We start from the raw sequence: 16,260 nt of genomic DNA, 5'->3' as shown, positions 1-16,260 counted from the left end.
GCTCTTGAGAGAAAAGAAAAGCACTACACATGAGAAACAATTGAGAAGGCAGAGGTCAGAATCAGCAGCAGATACTTGAGTGGAAGTTTACCTACTACAGGACAGCTCAGGCCTGTATTTGAATATATCACTCAGACCTAAAACCTGGGAGCATCAAGCCTTCTCTGAAAAGGAAAGACTATGAGATTATAGAAAGAACAGTATCACTAAGAGTTCAAACAACATCTCTGATGGAGCTCCTGAGCAAGAGTAGGCCAGAAGAGAAAGGCCTTTTCCTCCTTGCTGGGGAGAGGGGCGATTAAGGGAGGTCAGCATGATCCAGGGGTATGTCAGGATCAGGGTGGGCTGGTGAGGACAGCATTATAGTAACAAGCATCCAGAGGCAGGCAGTGGTCACCAAGAGGCAGAGGCTGAGAGCATACACCCCAGTGGTATGGCCAGCCTGCTACATATGAGGCTGGTGTGGAGGCTCATCTCAGGGAGACAGAGCAGCAAAGGCAGCCTCAGTGCAGATATGACAGGCAACAGGGAATAGCAGCCAAGAGGAATGGCCCAAGGAGTGGCAGAGGGCAGGCTGCAGTGTTATACCTGGTGTCTCACCTCTTTAGGGACTTCAAGGGAAAGGCACAAAAAAAGGAAAGGGCCAAGGGCCATGCAGTGGATTTGGGGACAAAGAGAATAAAGATTTTCCCCTTGCAACCCACAGCCTGGTAGAGTTAGAAAAAAAGCCATTTGCTCATGTGCCTCTGTGCCCTCACTTCCCAAATTTGTTTTGTTTTGTTTTTTTAACTCCTTGCTCTTTGAAATTTGCTATTGGTATCATTAATGTGCAGAAAGAATCCCTAACACACTGGGATTCACCTTTCCATTAAAAAAAATACACAAATTGTATTTCAATGAAGTCACAGCCACCCAAGCCAACCATTGCAAATGATGTCACTTACTGTGGCCCAGCACTATAACTTAGATAAATAATAATTTTTAAAGTTTGTAGATCATATTGAACTTGGCTTAATAGGCCCTCTCTTCAAACCTCTGAAAGGATAGCTCATAAAGAAGTAATTAGTTTATATAGACTGTCAAGATTCATGGGGGACAGCTGGCCTTTGATGCCTCATCTGTGATTACAGGCAGCTACAAGATAATAAAATCAAGCTCTGAACTCATGCCAAGGTATTCAGTGATCTCACTCTGGACACTCTGCCAAGCAGAATAAACTATAAATATCTGGTTGCACTCTTGTTCTTTGGTTTGTGATCTCAAACAAGTTCACTGAGACATTTAGGACTTTCAGAGGCCCCAAATTCCCATTAAAGTAAAACCATTAACCTTAAAAATTCATGTTCATAATTAATATTTGTGGTGGGCTCCAATTCCAGGACTATTCAATATGGCTACTGCAGTAAGCCACAGAAATGGCTTCTGGAGGAGAAATTTGACCTGGTATTAACTTGTCTAAGCTTGTTATTAAGCAGTCCAATTACTGGCAGTAGGAGCTGGTTCTCAATATCATTGATTTTGCTATGATGATTGCCAGTTATGTCTTTTTAAAAGACGATTTCCTCAATGTTTTAAATTCCCAGTTCGTTCTTCTCTATGCTGCCATCTTATCTGAGCTTTCTTGGGTCTTTCACTCTTCTTCAGCTTTAATGATGCCCCACGTCCCCTTAACACAGTAAACTATATAACAGGTAGTTTTCACTAGGCCTCTTTGGTTTCCAAGGACAGAGCTATTCTTACTCACCCATCTCAAGAGATAGAGTGGATAAAAGTGCAACAACAAAGATGATTTTGTGGAAATTCAGGATCAATATGACAACCAGGACCACTCAGCAACTGAGGCTATCATTCCCTTCAGGGACCACACACTCCCTCCCATCTGGGCACATCTGCTTCTGTGGGACCACTGTCCTCCCCTCCCTCTGCTGACAGGGTACTCCTAACTGCAGTTTGAGCATGTTATGGAAGCTTCACCTGCAACAGTTGCCCCCTTCCCCACGTGCCCCCCACCATCTCCATCTGCCCTGCACCCCCATCCTTTTAACCTCTCAGCATTCAAACAGGAAGCCAATTGCACTATTTGATCTTTTCAATCCAGCTAGCAAGTTAGGTTGCAGCTTGGGTCAGGTGCCCACCCCTGGCCCAATCACAGTTGGTCAGGTGGGCTGGGTCATGGGGCTTGAAATTTGACCACCGGGTCAGTGAGCAGAGAAAATACCATAATGTGTTTGCATCATTACTTGTCGACGAAGCATGCCATTGATTTAAATTCTCTGATATCCCAGAATGTCTTTAAGCTTGGAGCTTGTTGAGTCTTCTAAAGTGTTCTTCCAATAGAAAAAAAGAAAGGTGGTTGGGGGTCTTGTTCTTTATTTTTTGTTTTTCCTGATTCATTGTATAAAGAGCCCTGACTTTGGAGTTCCAGGTTTGAACCACTGTCTTGCACTGAGGCCGGACAGAGTCAGCCACTGATGTGAAGATGAATGAAAAGAGTTTTCTTAGGGACTAAGCCCAGGATCCTGAACTCAGGAGGATTCTGCAGACTCTTGCCAAGTCCCCCGGACTTGGGATATAGCAAATAAAACCAAATGATGATGAAAGAAGTTAACAGGGAGCAGCAGAGAACAATAAACAGGGAAGCCCCCTTTAAGGAGCAGAATCACTCTTAAAATGGGGGGATACCTGGCAACATTTTTCCAGCAGGATATCAGAATTGCTATGGGCCACACCAGTGGTAGCTATGTGCCTCCCATTCTTCTCCTCTTGGAGTGGGAGTCTTACTGAGTTTTCCTTCCCATGGTGTATATGTGCGGGAAGAAAATTTGTCATTTATCGGCCTCTGGATCAAGAGGAGCTGCATCCAGTTCTGATAAGGATCACAAAATATTGATCTTTAAGCCAGATGCCATGATTAGATACATTTTGGGGGTCTCTAGAATAGGGATGAGCATGTTTTACATGAAATAGGGGTATGAATAATTTTGACCTACAGTTAAGCTGTGATGAAATGATTGCATTGATGACCCTACCCCCCACGCCCTTTAGTAGTCCACTCCTGCACTGACTCTGGGCTTGGCTATGAGACTTGCTTTAGCCAGTGGGACAGTGATATGGTTTGGCTCTGTGTCTCTACTAGAATCTCATCTCGAATTGTAATCCCCAAGGGTCAAGGGAGGGACCTAATGGAAGCTGACTGGCTCATGGGGGTGGTTTTCCCAATCCTGTTCTCATGATAGTGAGTTCTCATGAGATCTGATGGTTTCATAAGGGGCTCTTCCTCCTTCACTCTCTCTCTCACCTGCTACCACATGTCTGCTTCCCCTTCTGCCATGAGTTTAAGTTTCCTGAGGCCTCCCCATCCAGGCAGAACTGTAAGTCAACTAAACCTCTTTCTTTATAAGTTACCCAGTCTCAGGGAAGTTCTTTACATAGCAGTGTGAAAATGGACTAATACAGACAGTAACAAACTTCTCATAAGTAGCTGCTTGCCAATGTGCTTTTACATTTCTGCACTTTAAGGAATAAGCTCAGGGTAGCCTGCTGGAAGAACACACGGAGAACAGTGTCATCCCAGCCAAAGTCACCATACAGAACAGCCAGCCTACAGCCTACTCATTAACAGCCGGTGGAGACATAAACAAGCCCAGCTGAGATCAGTTGAGCCTGGCTCAGACGAGCAGAGCTGCCCAATAAGCAGGAAGCTGCCCAATAAGAAAGAAGTAATGGTTGTTGTTTGATGCTCATAAGTTTTGGGGTGGTTGTTGCACAGCAATACTTGCAGACATCTGGGCTGAAATTACAACTTCACCATTACTACTGTGTTCTTGGCAAATTATATAATCTGACTTAACATCGGTCTCTCCTATAAAATAATAATAATGCCTATTTCAGAGGATTGTTGTTAAAATTATGATATAGTGTGTGCAAAATAATGCCTGGTATGTATAAACATTAGCTAATTTTCAGTGCTGTTGTGTACAAGTTGTTTTCAGTACAATGATGTATGGCCCAGGGGGCAAGTAGGGGCAGAAATCCACCTTTTTCTCTACTTGCCAAGCCATGGGCTCTGGAGTGAGACAGTGTCCATCTATAAGAAGGGGCACCTGTTTCTAATTTGCACAGTTAGTATATAGGCTGGCACCAGATCTGCTATTACTATTGATTTCATTATTCACTTTTCATCTTGTTTTAGTAGAGTATTGTCATTAACTCAGAGTCCCAGAAAACTTGAAATTCCTACATTCAACTGCTTCTCTCAAGCAATCTCTTAGTGCCAGTGCTCAAGTGTTCTAACCTGAAACTCCACATGTCTCCTGTTAGAGTGACCAACTCACTCTGGTTTACGAGGACCTTCCTGGTTTGGGCACTAGAAGTCACACATCCCAGGAAATCCTTCCTTTCCAAGCAAACCAGGATAGTCTGTCTCCCTGGGTGTCCCCTTTCAACCTTAATGAGGGAAAATGGCCCAAAAGTATCCACTGATTGTCCCCTAAACATTAGTTTGGCCTAAAGCAGGATCTATCAATAGTCTTCTTATTAAGAAAATCCAAAAGCTCTGGGTAAGGGTCACTGGTGCATGGGTGTGACAGGCCTTGCTGACCCCATCCCTCACCTTCTACCATCAATCAGACCATGAAACCCATGGTCCCTGCTGTAGGTATTTACCTGGGACCTTTTACCCTCTTCTTGGCTCACTGAAGCCTGCACCTGTCATCCTTCCTCTGTACTCTGGCTCTTAGTCCCTCCTCTAGCCATCCCCTTGAGGCAACCTCTTCAGCTTTCCTCCATGGGCTTTGTGCCCTCAGAGCCTGTCTCTGACCACTCAGCACAGGAGGAGCTGTGTATGCCCATCTTCACAGGTCCCCAGCTACTGCCAGTAAACTCCTTCCAATCAGGATGCCATGGACAGAACTGGGGCATCAAGGTTGAGCACAGAATATGATGGAGAAGTACACAATAGACTCTTGTAGGTGAGAGGCAGTAGCCCAGATGGTGGATTCCAGATAGGTCTGGAGCTGATTTTCTGCAGGGAGGGTGAAGAATTGACCTTTGGCTGAAGCCTCATGACTGGGTGGGAAGCAGAGTGGGATACCAGGGGACACCCTGCCTTCTGGTCCTCAGGAATGGCCCCCAAACAAACCAGCTTGGAATGCAAAGGCACATCTACTGTGAGATTAATGTGGATGGCATCTCTGCTGCGAGGTCCGAGCTCAGAGAGCTGTGGGGCAGGACAGACTGAAGAAGGCTGGGTCCTGTGCCCATGATCCTGAAGGCGCTGGATAGGGAAATGAGGTCCTGATGTGGTTATTCCCCAATATCCCATGTGGTTCTCACTCACAGACCTCTTTCATCATTTTTGCTGCTTCCATAAACTGCCTAAATATTAGTTTACTTTTTTTTTAATTTGGTGTTTTTAAAAACTCTAGTGCATTTATTTTAAAAGAGAATGACTAAAATGAAAAGCCAGCAATCCTTGCCTTGAATAGAGAATAACCTAAATAAAATACAACCGAATATTATTAAAATTCTAGCTTGATGTTGTTGCTTACTGAAGGCTTGGTGATATAACTTGCTTCCTCTTTGTCAAAAAGAGAGATTAACAAGTATTTGAGTGGTATTGAAGATGTCTTGAACTTCCCAAGCTGCACCTTTCTCCTGGACATGATCAGAAAGAGAATTTAAAGGGGAATGACTCACTCAGCATGGGATTCAGCACTCTTTAATGCTATATCTGTGTATCATGTAAATCTTGTACTTCCAATGACATAAGTCCTACACACTGGAAAACTGGCAGAGGAGAAAGAAGGCAGGACTTGGAGTCTGAGAGTATGGAACTGAATGGCAGGACTGATCCATCCTGGCTAGGTAAGCTTGAACAGTATTTGAAATTTCCCAAAGCCTCAATGTCTTCATTTGCAAAACAGAATCATAATAGCTGACCTACCTGTTCCCCAAGGTTGGTAAGGTTTGGACATAAGTGTGTGTGTGTGTGTGTAATAAAAGGACACATGGTTTGCAACAGTCTGAAACTGTATCTTTCAACTAATAGATTATTCCATAGGGATACATTATAGGTAGAATGTAAGAAAATTTATTCTTAACTGATATTTATTTGTAGAATCCTGAACAATTTTCAAGCTATTTTCCCTTACATTATTTAACTGACTGTCCCACACCATTACACTACCCAACAATCTAGGCAACATACCTTGACAGTACAAATGGGTGATCAAGCCTTAGAACAAACTCAAAACTTTTCTCTTTTTTAAAAAAAATCACAGATTATAATTGCACTATTGTAATCAACCCAAATGAATCAAACACTTGTGGCTTACTGATAATAATACAAATTTCAATTACTCTGATTACCCTCATTATTATCATTGCTATGATTATCACAACTATGATTTATTGGGTGTCTACTGGCTACCAGAGAGAGCTCTAGGCACTTTGCATTAGTATCTTACTTAATCTACATATTAACACCAGGAGTGGGTACTATGATTACCCCCATTTTAAATATAAGGAAACTGTCCCTCAGAGTAGTTCAGTGACTTATCTGAGATCATACAGCTAGTAAGTGGCAGAGCCTATGTGAGTTTGGGCCAAAGCCCTGTGACCATTCACAATGTCTGCCTTCCCTTCTCACTATAAGACACATGGCTATCCCAAGCATGTGGGAGAGGCTTTGCCAAGGGTCTATCCCAATCCCTGTGGGAGGGTCTTTGCCATCAGGCACCTATAGGGCCTGAGGCATGAACAAGACCCTGAGGCAGGTCCCAAGATAAGGAGGCAGATACACTAGCAGGCCCTGAACAAAAGGACAAACAGAGTTAACCATGTATGAAAGAGCATTCCCAGCTGCAACCAGCACTGTAACCAGCTAATCAAAACCAGGCCAAATCACGTCCCAGGCAATTTTCTGGGCAGCCCTCAGAGAGTCACCCAGCTTGAGAAGTCAGCCAATTATGCCTGATCATTCTCTGCAGCCCTGTCCTTATAAAAGACAAGTCCAGACTGGCCCAATGTAGACAAATGAGCAGTTCTATCATCTCTGAAAGGCAATCTAATTCCCTTGAAATTTAAAAGTCTCCACAGTTTCCTAACAGACCTCGGTGGGGCACAGGTAGAAATTAATAAGTTCATGGTGTGCCCAGCTTGCTTTCATTATCATTTTTTGCCATGCAGCGGACAGCATTTTCATTATTACTCAAGGATTTTCTTTTCTGTATCTGATTCTCTAAGAAGGTCAAATCTACAGAGCTCAGACACTGGGTTAAGAATTGAGACAAGTCTAGTGGACTTGACTGAAGTCTGAGGGAGGTTTCACTGACTGAGCATCAGCACTTTACTAATCAGGTAGGGCAGAGATGAAAAGGAAACATCACAGGGAAAGAGAACTTAGAGTAAGTGCTGAGAAGCCCTGGCTCTAGATTCAACCCCAGGCTAGCCTGTTCTGGGATTCTGGGCAAGTTGCTTAGCGTCTCTGAGTTAGTTATCTCCCCTGCCAACTGGCAGGGAGGAGGGTATGGAATAGGAAACGCAAATTTATTAAACTTCTCCTATATCTTGAATCATTGCAAGATGTGTCATAGACACTCTTTAAATTTCATCAAAACAACAAACAGCCCTGGAAAGCTTATATTCTTTTACAGATGATGACAGCAAGGCTACTACTAAATCACACCATCAGAATGAACCTTATGACGGCCAGGGACTGAGCGACTTGGGTGGTGTGAATGAAACTGCAAACTCATACAACTTTTCTGGAAAGCAATTTAACATGTTTTACAACCTTTAAAATGTTTGGCCAACTAAAATTCTGGAAATCCATCCAAACAACAGAATCTGAAATGTGGACACATGTTATAATAAAAGAGAATTGGAAATAGACAAACTGCCAGTCAGAGAATGGTAAACTCTAGAACACTCATTAAATAGGAAATCATGTAGTCATTTAAAAAGTTTCAGAAAAATATGTAATAAAATGGCAAATTTTCATTAATGTGAAAAAATAAGGTATAGTATTCAAAATGAGGTATAATAGCAAGGTTTTTTTTTTTTTTTTTTTTTTTTTTTTTTTTGAGATAGGGTCTTGCTCTGGAGTGCAGTGGAACAATCTCAGCTCACTGCAGCCTCAACTTCCTAGGATCAATTGATCCTCCTACCTGAGCCTCCTGAGTAGCTGGAACTATAGGTATGTGCCAACACACCCAGCTAATTATTAATTATTATTATTATTGTTATTTTGTAGAGACAAGATCTTACCATGTTTCCCAGGCCGGTATCAAACTCCTGGGCTCAAGCAATCCTCCCCTCCTCAGCCTCCCAAAGTGCTGGGACTACAAGCATGAGCACCCAGCATGATCACAATTTTTGAAAAAAAAAAAGGTAGAAAAATGACAAGAAGGAAATATACTAAAATGTTAAAAGAGCCTTTCTGGGGTTGTGAAAACATATACCTCATGCTTTTACTGTGTGTTTCACTGTATTTTCCACAGTTTCTACAATAAATACTTGTATATCTCACTTGTTTTTGTCATAATCAGGAGATATACCATAAAAGCTATGTTAAATCTTTGAATTTTGCACTTATATACAAAATGCAATCATAATATTTATTTAAATAAAAATCACGTGAGATCATGTATGATTCTAAATGATATGTGTAAGATGGCAGAATCTATGTGTAAAACATTTTTCTTAAAAAAAATTAAAGGGGGAGACAGATAAGAGAAATAAGAGCACAAATGGTATGGATGAAATTGTTTTCCACAAAGCTTAGAGCCTACCTCCTGGGCTAAATGAGAAATAAAGACCACTGGGAAAGGGGTGGGAAAACTGACACACAATACAAAAGCAGCTGATAAGCGAGGACTAAAAGCTTCAGTTGACTTCGAGGAGTGATGGAGTTGGCAGATATGAATTTTTCAATTTTATGAGAACGATAGGGATCTGAAATAAATCTTCGGTATTTTCTTTTTAAGATAAATGTTTTAAAATAAACGCCTGCAGCATGGATGGATGGCTAGTGCCTGTGTCCTGTCTTAGAGCTGATCATAAATAACACTGAGAAAAATAGCTCTGGCCATTCTAAAACCACCTTTATTTTTTACTCCTAAGAGCTCAGAGGATTATATCTTGATGCATTAAGCTAGACTCTTTTAAGGCAGCTGCAAATCATAGAAGTATAGAAGTTGTCTTTAAATGGAAATAACTACTCAAGACTTGGCTTAGAAGGAAACTATGGTTTCAAGAAGTGTCTGAACAGTTGTGGGTGCATCTAATGGTCAGAATACTAATTCAAGTTTAAAGGCATTTGGTGGGTTTCTGACTTAAGGAAATCCTTTTGTGAGTCTTCAGATGAAACATTTAATTCTTCTTCGGCCCTATAACCAACAAACTTAAATAACCTTTTGTAAGTCCAAACTTTCAAATACCAGATTTGCTTGAGGTATTTTTTTTTTCTATTGTGGTCTGTACATTAGAGAGCTTATAACTTTACTGTAGAACAGCTTATTCAACGACTTCGGTTTCCCTTTCACTATTAGATGAGAACAGGACATTAAAGGCAGACATACAATCAGACACATTGCTCATCTTTTAAAGTGCCAGCCTCAGGACACTGCAATGACTTCATGTCATCTGATTACTTCCTGTTTGTCTTTTATTTTTCTCTGTCATATTTGAAAGAGGGGTCATATGTTCAGATGGAAAGGTGAATGAGAGGATCTTCTTGGTGGAAGGGCCTCTGCATATAGGCTGGGAGGAAAGGGGATGAGGGAAGTGAGGGGTTCATGCTCAGTGGAAAAAGGAAAGCCACTATTCAGCTGTGTATTTCAGATTTATCAAGATAAACCATAATCCTGCATTTTTATGCTAAATCTCTCAATTTCTAAATGTTGTTTCTATTTATTTTTTGCTCTGTCACACAGGATAGAGTGCAGTTGGTGCAATCAGAGTTCACAGCAGCCATCTAAAATTCCTTGAGTCAAGCGATCCTCCTGCCTCGGCTTCCTGAGAAACTAGGACCAGGCATGCACCACCATGCCCAGCTAATTATTATTATTATTATTTTGTAGAGATGGGTTCTGATTATGTTGCCCAGGCTTGTCTTGAACTTCTGGCCTCAAATGATTCTCCTGCCTCAGCCTCCCAAAGTGCTGGGGTTGCAGGCATGAGCCACTATATCTGGCATCTATTTTTTTAAGTGCATAATAAACCAAACATTTCCATGACCCAAACATTTTTACTAATATTTGTTTAAAAATCTCATTTCCGGAGGTTGCTGATAATTACTGACTAATACCATTATTAGCTATGTCCAAGAAAGAGATGTGTTAGAGTCTTCCTAGACTGGCAAAGAAGGTTTAGGGAAGATACTTCATCTTTTGTGGTAAAGACTGCAAGGAGTTTATACTTCCAACAGGCATTTGGTAAAACTGGGACTTCTAAGGGTGATTGGGAAATGTATGGAAATGCCTCAATTCTAAACATCACGGAAGTCACAGGTACCCTTAGTGGTTTTCATTCTACATAAAATAAAGCTTTCTTCTGAGAATAGAGTATCTCCCTCACTCTTTGCAAGAATGCTTATGGGTTTATCTTCACATAATACTGAATTTCCCCATTTAATATAACTACCTTCTCGCTCCATGCTTTATAATATTCCATAATGAAAGATGTCTTCACAAAGCTTATCTCTTAGAAGTGCAAAAGAACCCCCTTTTCTCTGCCCAAGCAGCTCATAATGTAGCAGGCAAACTGTCAGAAAAAAATAGACTTCATCCTGGTGAAAACCTCAGCCTGGCACCCATCTATCATAAAACAATCTTCTAGAAATCTTGAAAACCTTCATTAAATTTCCTGTCTTTCTCCGGACAGTTATAAAATGTTAACAATATTACTCATGATGCAGGCATCTTCAGAAATCCTTTGTCTAATCCCTCCTCCCACTGCCATGACCAGTCCCTTCTCTTTGCCAAAATCCATGGAAGCATGAAGCATAGCCGAGTTCCTCACTCACCCCTCCTGGGGCCTACCCCTCGAAGAGGGTCCGAGGAGGAAACAGAGGTAGCCTTGATGATAGTGAGAGGCTCTCTAGCCACAAGAGGGAAATATGGCACTGCCTTGGGATTCCTCCTGCAGAGACACACCCACTTGGAAGCTCAAGGACAAGACCCTGTGCCACTCTTAGCAGATATTTCCTGGTCTTTTTTTCTCTCTCTTTTCTCTTGCCAATGTACCAAGCTATGAGTCTCCACTTATCAATTACATGTGGGTAGTCGGCCAATAGGTCTTCTCTCTATGGGTAAAATTCCCCTAAGAACCTTACTAGCCCAACTTCTCCAACTCCACAGGCCACTTCAGCAATTTACCACTCCTTAGAAGAAGAAGAAACAAGGGTCTTGCACTGGAGGCAACATGAAGGAAAAAACAAACAAACAAAAACATAAGGACAGCCAGAATCCATCCCAGAAATAAGAGGCATACAGCTTTAACATCACAGGCTGATCTAGAGATGCACAGGGTGGTGACAATAGCTATAAAGCCATATTCTGGGCTTTGTGGAGGTTTCACAGCACATCTTCAAAGTGAGCCAGGCCCAGCCGTACGAAGCCATAATCTCACCTGCAAAAGGAACCGGTGCATCTTTATCCAGGGCTACCAGTGGTGGGTCCAAAATGACTGTGTCATTGTTCTCAGTTATGACTCCATGATATGAAGTCTCGATCCATGGCTTGTGCTTATTGACTAGAAAATAAGGGGGAAAAAACAAAAAGGATCATTATTTAAATAACAAACCCATAATAATGTATTATTAAGATTGTATATTTGCCCAATCATAGACTCTCATCCAACAATCCCATGAGAGACATGGAACATGTTAATCCCATTTTAAACCCAGAAAAGCTTCAGAGAAGTGCGGGAAGAGGTTCAACACCTCACCCAAGCCACTCAGAAGGTGAGAGACAGCATTGACTATCAAACACTGTTTGTTTTGCCTCTAAGACCACGGATTCTTCACCTCGTCAAAATCCCATTATTTGTATGTCTGGATACCCAGTACAGATAGATGTTACTGAGAACTGATTGAAAGCTTTAATTCTGTAATGCTACCATCTATTAATAGATGTTTCAGAGTTAAAGTGCTTTGTCACTCAATAAACTAGCAGTTACTACTATGTATGCTCAGCTTTCTGACCTCAACCAAATCTGATCCATCATTAGAAGTTACTGCATTTTAAATACATGTATACATGTATACACACACATATGTATAAATATCATTATATATGCAAAGATAAAACAGATATTTGAATATTTTCTGATCATTTAAAAACTGTGTATCTCAGTGGTCTAAATTATTGGTAACTTAAATTGTTCTTCAATAATTTGACTAGCTGAATTAAATATTAACCAATGAACAATTAATACAATGAAAACACATATCAAATATATTTTATGGGTTGAATTGTGTCCTCTACATAAAAAAAATACATTGATATCCTAACACTTAGAATCTCAGTATGTGAATTATTGGGAGATAGAATCTTTACAGAGGTAATCAAGTTTTAAAATGTCATTAGGGTGGTTCCGCATCCGATATGATTAGTGTACTCGTATAAAGGGAAAATTGTGGCACAGAAATATGTATACTGAGAGAATCTCATGTGAAAATAGAGTTGTGCAGCCCCAGGCCAAGGAACTACAGGAAGCTAGGAGAGAATCCTGGAACGGAGCCTTTCCTAGAGCCTTCAGAGGGAACCTGGACCTGCCAACACCTTGATTTCATATTTCTGGCATCCATAAACGTGAGACAATAAGTTTTTGTTCCCAGATTCCCAGTGATATGGTTTGGCTCTGTGTTCCCATCCAAATCTCATCTTGAATTGTACTCCCATAATTCCCACATGTTGTGGGAGGGACCCAGTAGCAGATAATTGAATGATGGGGGTGGTTTCCCCCACACTGTTCTCGTGGTTGTGAATACGTCTCACAAGATCTGATGGTTTTCTCAGGGGTTTCCGCTTTTACGGCTTCCTCATTCTCTCTTTGCCTGCTGCCATCCATGTAAGACAGGATGGTAAGAGGTCCAATTAAACCTCTTTCTTTTGTAAATTGCCCAGTCTGGGGTATGTCTTTATCAGCAGCATGAAAACATACTAATACAGTGAATTGGTACCAGTAGAGTGGGGCATTGCTGAAAAGATACCCAAAAATGTGGAAGTGACTTTGGAATTGGGAAACAGGCAGAGGTTGGAACAGTTTGGAGGGCTCAGAAGAAGACAGGAAAATGTGGGAAAGTTTGAAACTTCCTAGAGACTTGTTGAATGGCTTTGCCCAAAATGCTGATAGTGATATGGGCAATAAGCTCCAGGCTGAGGTGGTCTTAGATGGAGATGAGGAACTTGTTGGGAACCGGAGCAAAGGTGACTCTTGTTATATTTTAGCAGAGACTGGCAGCATTTTGCCCCTGCCCTAGACACTTGTGGGACTTTGAACTTGAGAGAGATGATTTAGGGTATCTGGTGGAAGAAATTTCTAAGCAGCAAAGCATTCAAGAGATGACTTGGGTGCTGTTAAAAGCATTCAGTTTTAAAAGGGAAACAGAGCAGATAAGTTTGAAAAATTTGCAGCCTGACAATGCGATAGAAAAGAAAATCCCATTTTCTGAGGAGAAATTCCAGTCAATTGTAGAAATTTTCATAAGTAACGAGAAGCCCAATGTTAATCCCCAAGACAATGGGAAAATGTCTCCAGGGCATGTTCAGAGGTCTTCATGGCAGCCCCTCCCATCATAGGACCTGAGGCCTAGAAGGAAAAACATGGTTTCATGGGCTGGACCTCTGAGCTGTGTGCAGCCTAGGGACTTGGTGCCCTGCATCCCAGCTGCTCCAGCCATGGCTGAAAGGGGCCAACATAGAGCTCAGGCCATGGCTTCAGATGGTGCAAGCGCCAAGTCTTGGTGGCTTCCACATGGCATTGAGCCTGCAGGTGCACAGAAGTCAAGAATTGAGGTTTGGAAACCTCCACCTGAATTTCAGAACATGTATGGAAATGCCTGGATGCCCAGGCAAAAGTTTGCTGCAGGGGAGTGGCTCTCATGGAGAACCTCTGCTAGGGCAGTGCAGAAGGGAAATGTGGGGTCGGAGCCCCCACACAGAGTCCCTACTGGGGAATCGCCTAGTGGAGCTGTGAGAAGAGAGCCACTGTCTTCCAGACCCCAGAATGCTAGATCCACTGACACTTGCACCTGTGCCTGGAAAAGCTGCAGGTACTCAACATCAGCCCATGAAAGCAGCTGGGAGGGAGGCTGTACCCTGCAAAGCAACAGAGGTGGAGCTTCCCGAGACCATGGGAACCTACCTCTTGCATCAGGGTGACCTGGATATGAGACATGGAGTCAAAAGAGATCATATTGGAGCTTTAAGATTTGACAGCCACACTGGATTTTGGACTTGCATGGGCCCTGTAGCCCTTTTGTTTTGGCCAATTTCTCCCATTTGGAACGGTTGTATTTACCCAATGTCTGCATCCCCATTGTATCTAGGAAATAACTAGCTTGCTTTTGATTTTACAAGTTCATAGGCAGAGGGGACTTGCCTTGTCTCAGATGACACTTTAGACTGTGGACTTTTGATTAATGCTAAAATGAGTTAAGACTTTGGGGGACTGTTGGGAAGGCATGATTGTTTTTGAAATGTGAGGACATGAGATTTGGCAGGGGCTAGGGAAAGAATGATATGGTTTGGCTCTATGTCCCCACCCAAATCTCATCTTGAATTGTACTCCCATAATTCCCACATGTTGTGGGAGAGACCCAGTGGGAGATAATTGAATCATGGGGGCAGTTTCTCCCATACTATTCTTGTGGTAGTGAATAAGTCTCACGAGATCTGATGGTTTTATCAGGGGTTTTTGCTTTTGCATCTTCCTCATTCTCTTTGCCTGTTGCCATGCATGTAAGATGGGACTTGATCTTCCTTGCCTTCTGCCATTATTGTGAGGCTTCCCCAGCCACGTGGAACTGTAAGTCCAATTAAACCTCTTTCTTTTGTAAATTGCCTAGTCTTGAGTATGTCTTTATCAGCGGCAAGAAAATGGACTAATCCACCCAGTTTGTGGTACTCTGTTACAGCAACCCTAGCAAATCAATACAGTATACTTATATCAGCAGGTACTAATGAAGAGTAGAGAACTGAAATAAGACTGTGCCAGGAGTTTTCACCTCATCTGGTGAGAACCCAGTTCTTGCCAAATCCTTCCCCTTCTATGTCTTGTTTGATGGGTTCTAGCCCAACCCACTCCTATCTGGATGGCAGCAGGGGTCTCCTGACTGGTCTCTCCATTGGAAATCTTGCCCTACTCCATTCTATTCTGCACACTGGTATCAAGAGTGATCTTTCTAAAACATTAATCTGATTACTTAACTGTGAGCTACTTGGTTTCTCTTTTTTAGTCCCCCCCGCTCACCCCCAATACCCTCACAGAAGTCTGGATATAGAGTAGGTACATCAGATTCAAAATAACAGGTTAGAGGGGGGCTAGAATAATCAAAATTGTTCCGATGCCAAACTTCACACCCTAATTCATAGTTTAAAAGGTGTGGTCACATATGCAGTGCTTCCCACAGCATCCTGTGAGGTAGGCATGATCATTATAAAGATGAATAAACTACCTCCACAAAGCGTAACTTTCCCAAGGTGATTATATGGTTAAAAATTAATAAGTAGGAAAACCAGAAATTCATACTTTGTGATATCTGAGAAGTGCAAACACACACACACACACATAATATATAATATATATTATATAATATATATATTATATATTGTTATTATATAATATATATATTATATTATATATTGTTATTATATATAATATATAATATATAATACATATTATATATTATATATTATATAATACATATTATATATTATATATTATACATATTATATATTAATATATTATATATAATATATAATACATAATACATATTATATATTAATATATATTATATATAATACATATTATATATAATATATAATACGTATTATATATAATATATAATACATATTATATAATATATAATGCACATTATACAGTATATATTTTATATATTACATTACAAATTTTTCAGTAGCCACAGCAAAGTGAGAGCTTATAGAATTGAGAGCAGCTCTGAAGCAGTGGCTGTTCCCTTCCTGCCTCATCCTTCAAAAGGTCAGTTCAGAGCTGTTCCAGGAGCAGTGGCAG

General features: G+C 41.3%; 1 protein-coding gene across 2 annotated transcripts in view; it reads right to left on the bottom strand.

The window, feature by feature from the left end:
* CLSTN2 (calsyntenin 2) overlaps window positions 1-16,260 on the bottom strand; it is a 642,213-nt gene that overhangs the window by 389,693 nt on the left and 236,260 nt on the right. For both annotated transcript variants that reach the window (NM_022131.3, XM_017007022.3), the window contains exon 2: window positions 11,632-11,754. In NM_022131.3, coding sequence (NP_071414.2) covers window positions 11,632-11,754 — 123 coding nt within the window. The remainder of the gene's footprint in view (window positions 1-11,631; window positions 11,755-16,260) is intronic.

Source organism: Homo sapiens, chromosome 3 (genome assembly GCF_000001405.40).
Source record: "Homo sapiens chromosome 3, GRCh38.p14 Primary Assembly".
Lineage (NCBI taxonomy): Eukaryota > Metazoa > Chordata > Mammalia > Primates > Hominidae > Homo > Homo sapiens.
The sequence above is the reverse complement of the archived record's forward strand: the minus strand, read 5'-3'. Positions and strand labels throughout refer to the sequence as shown.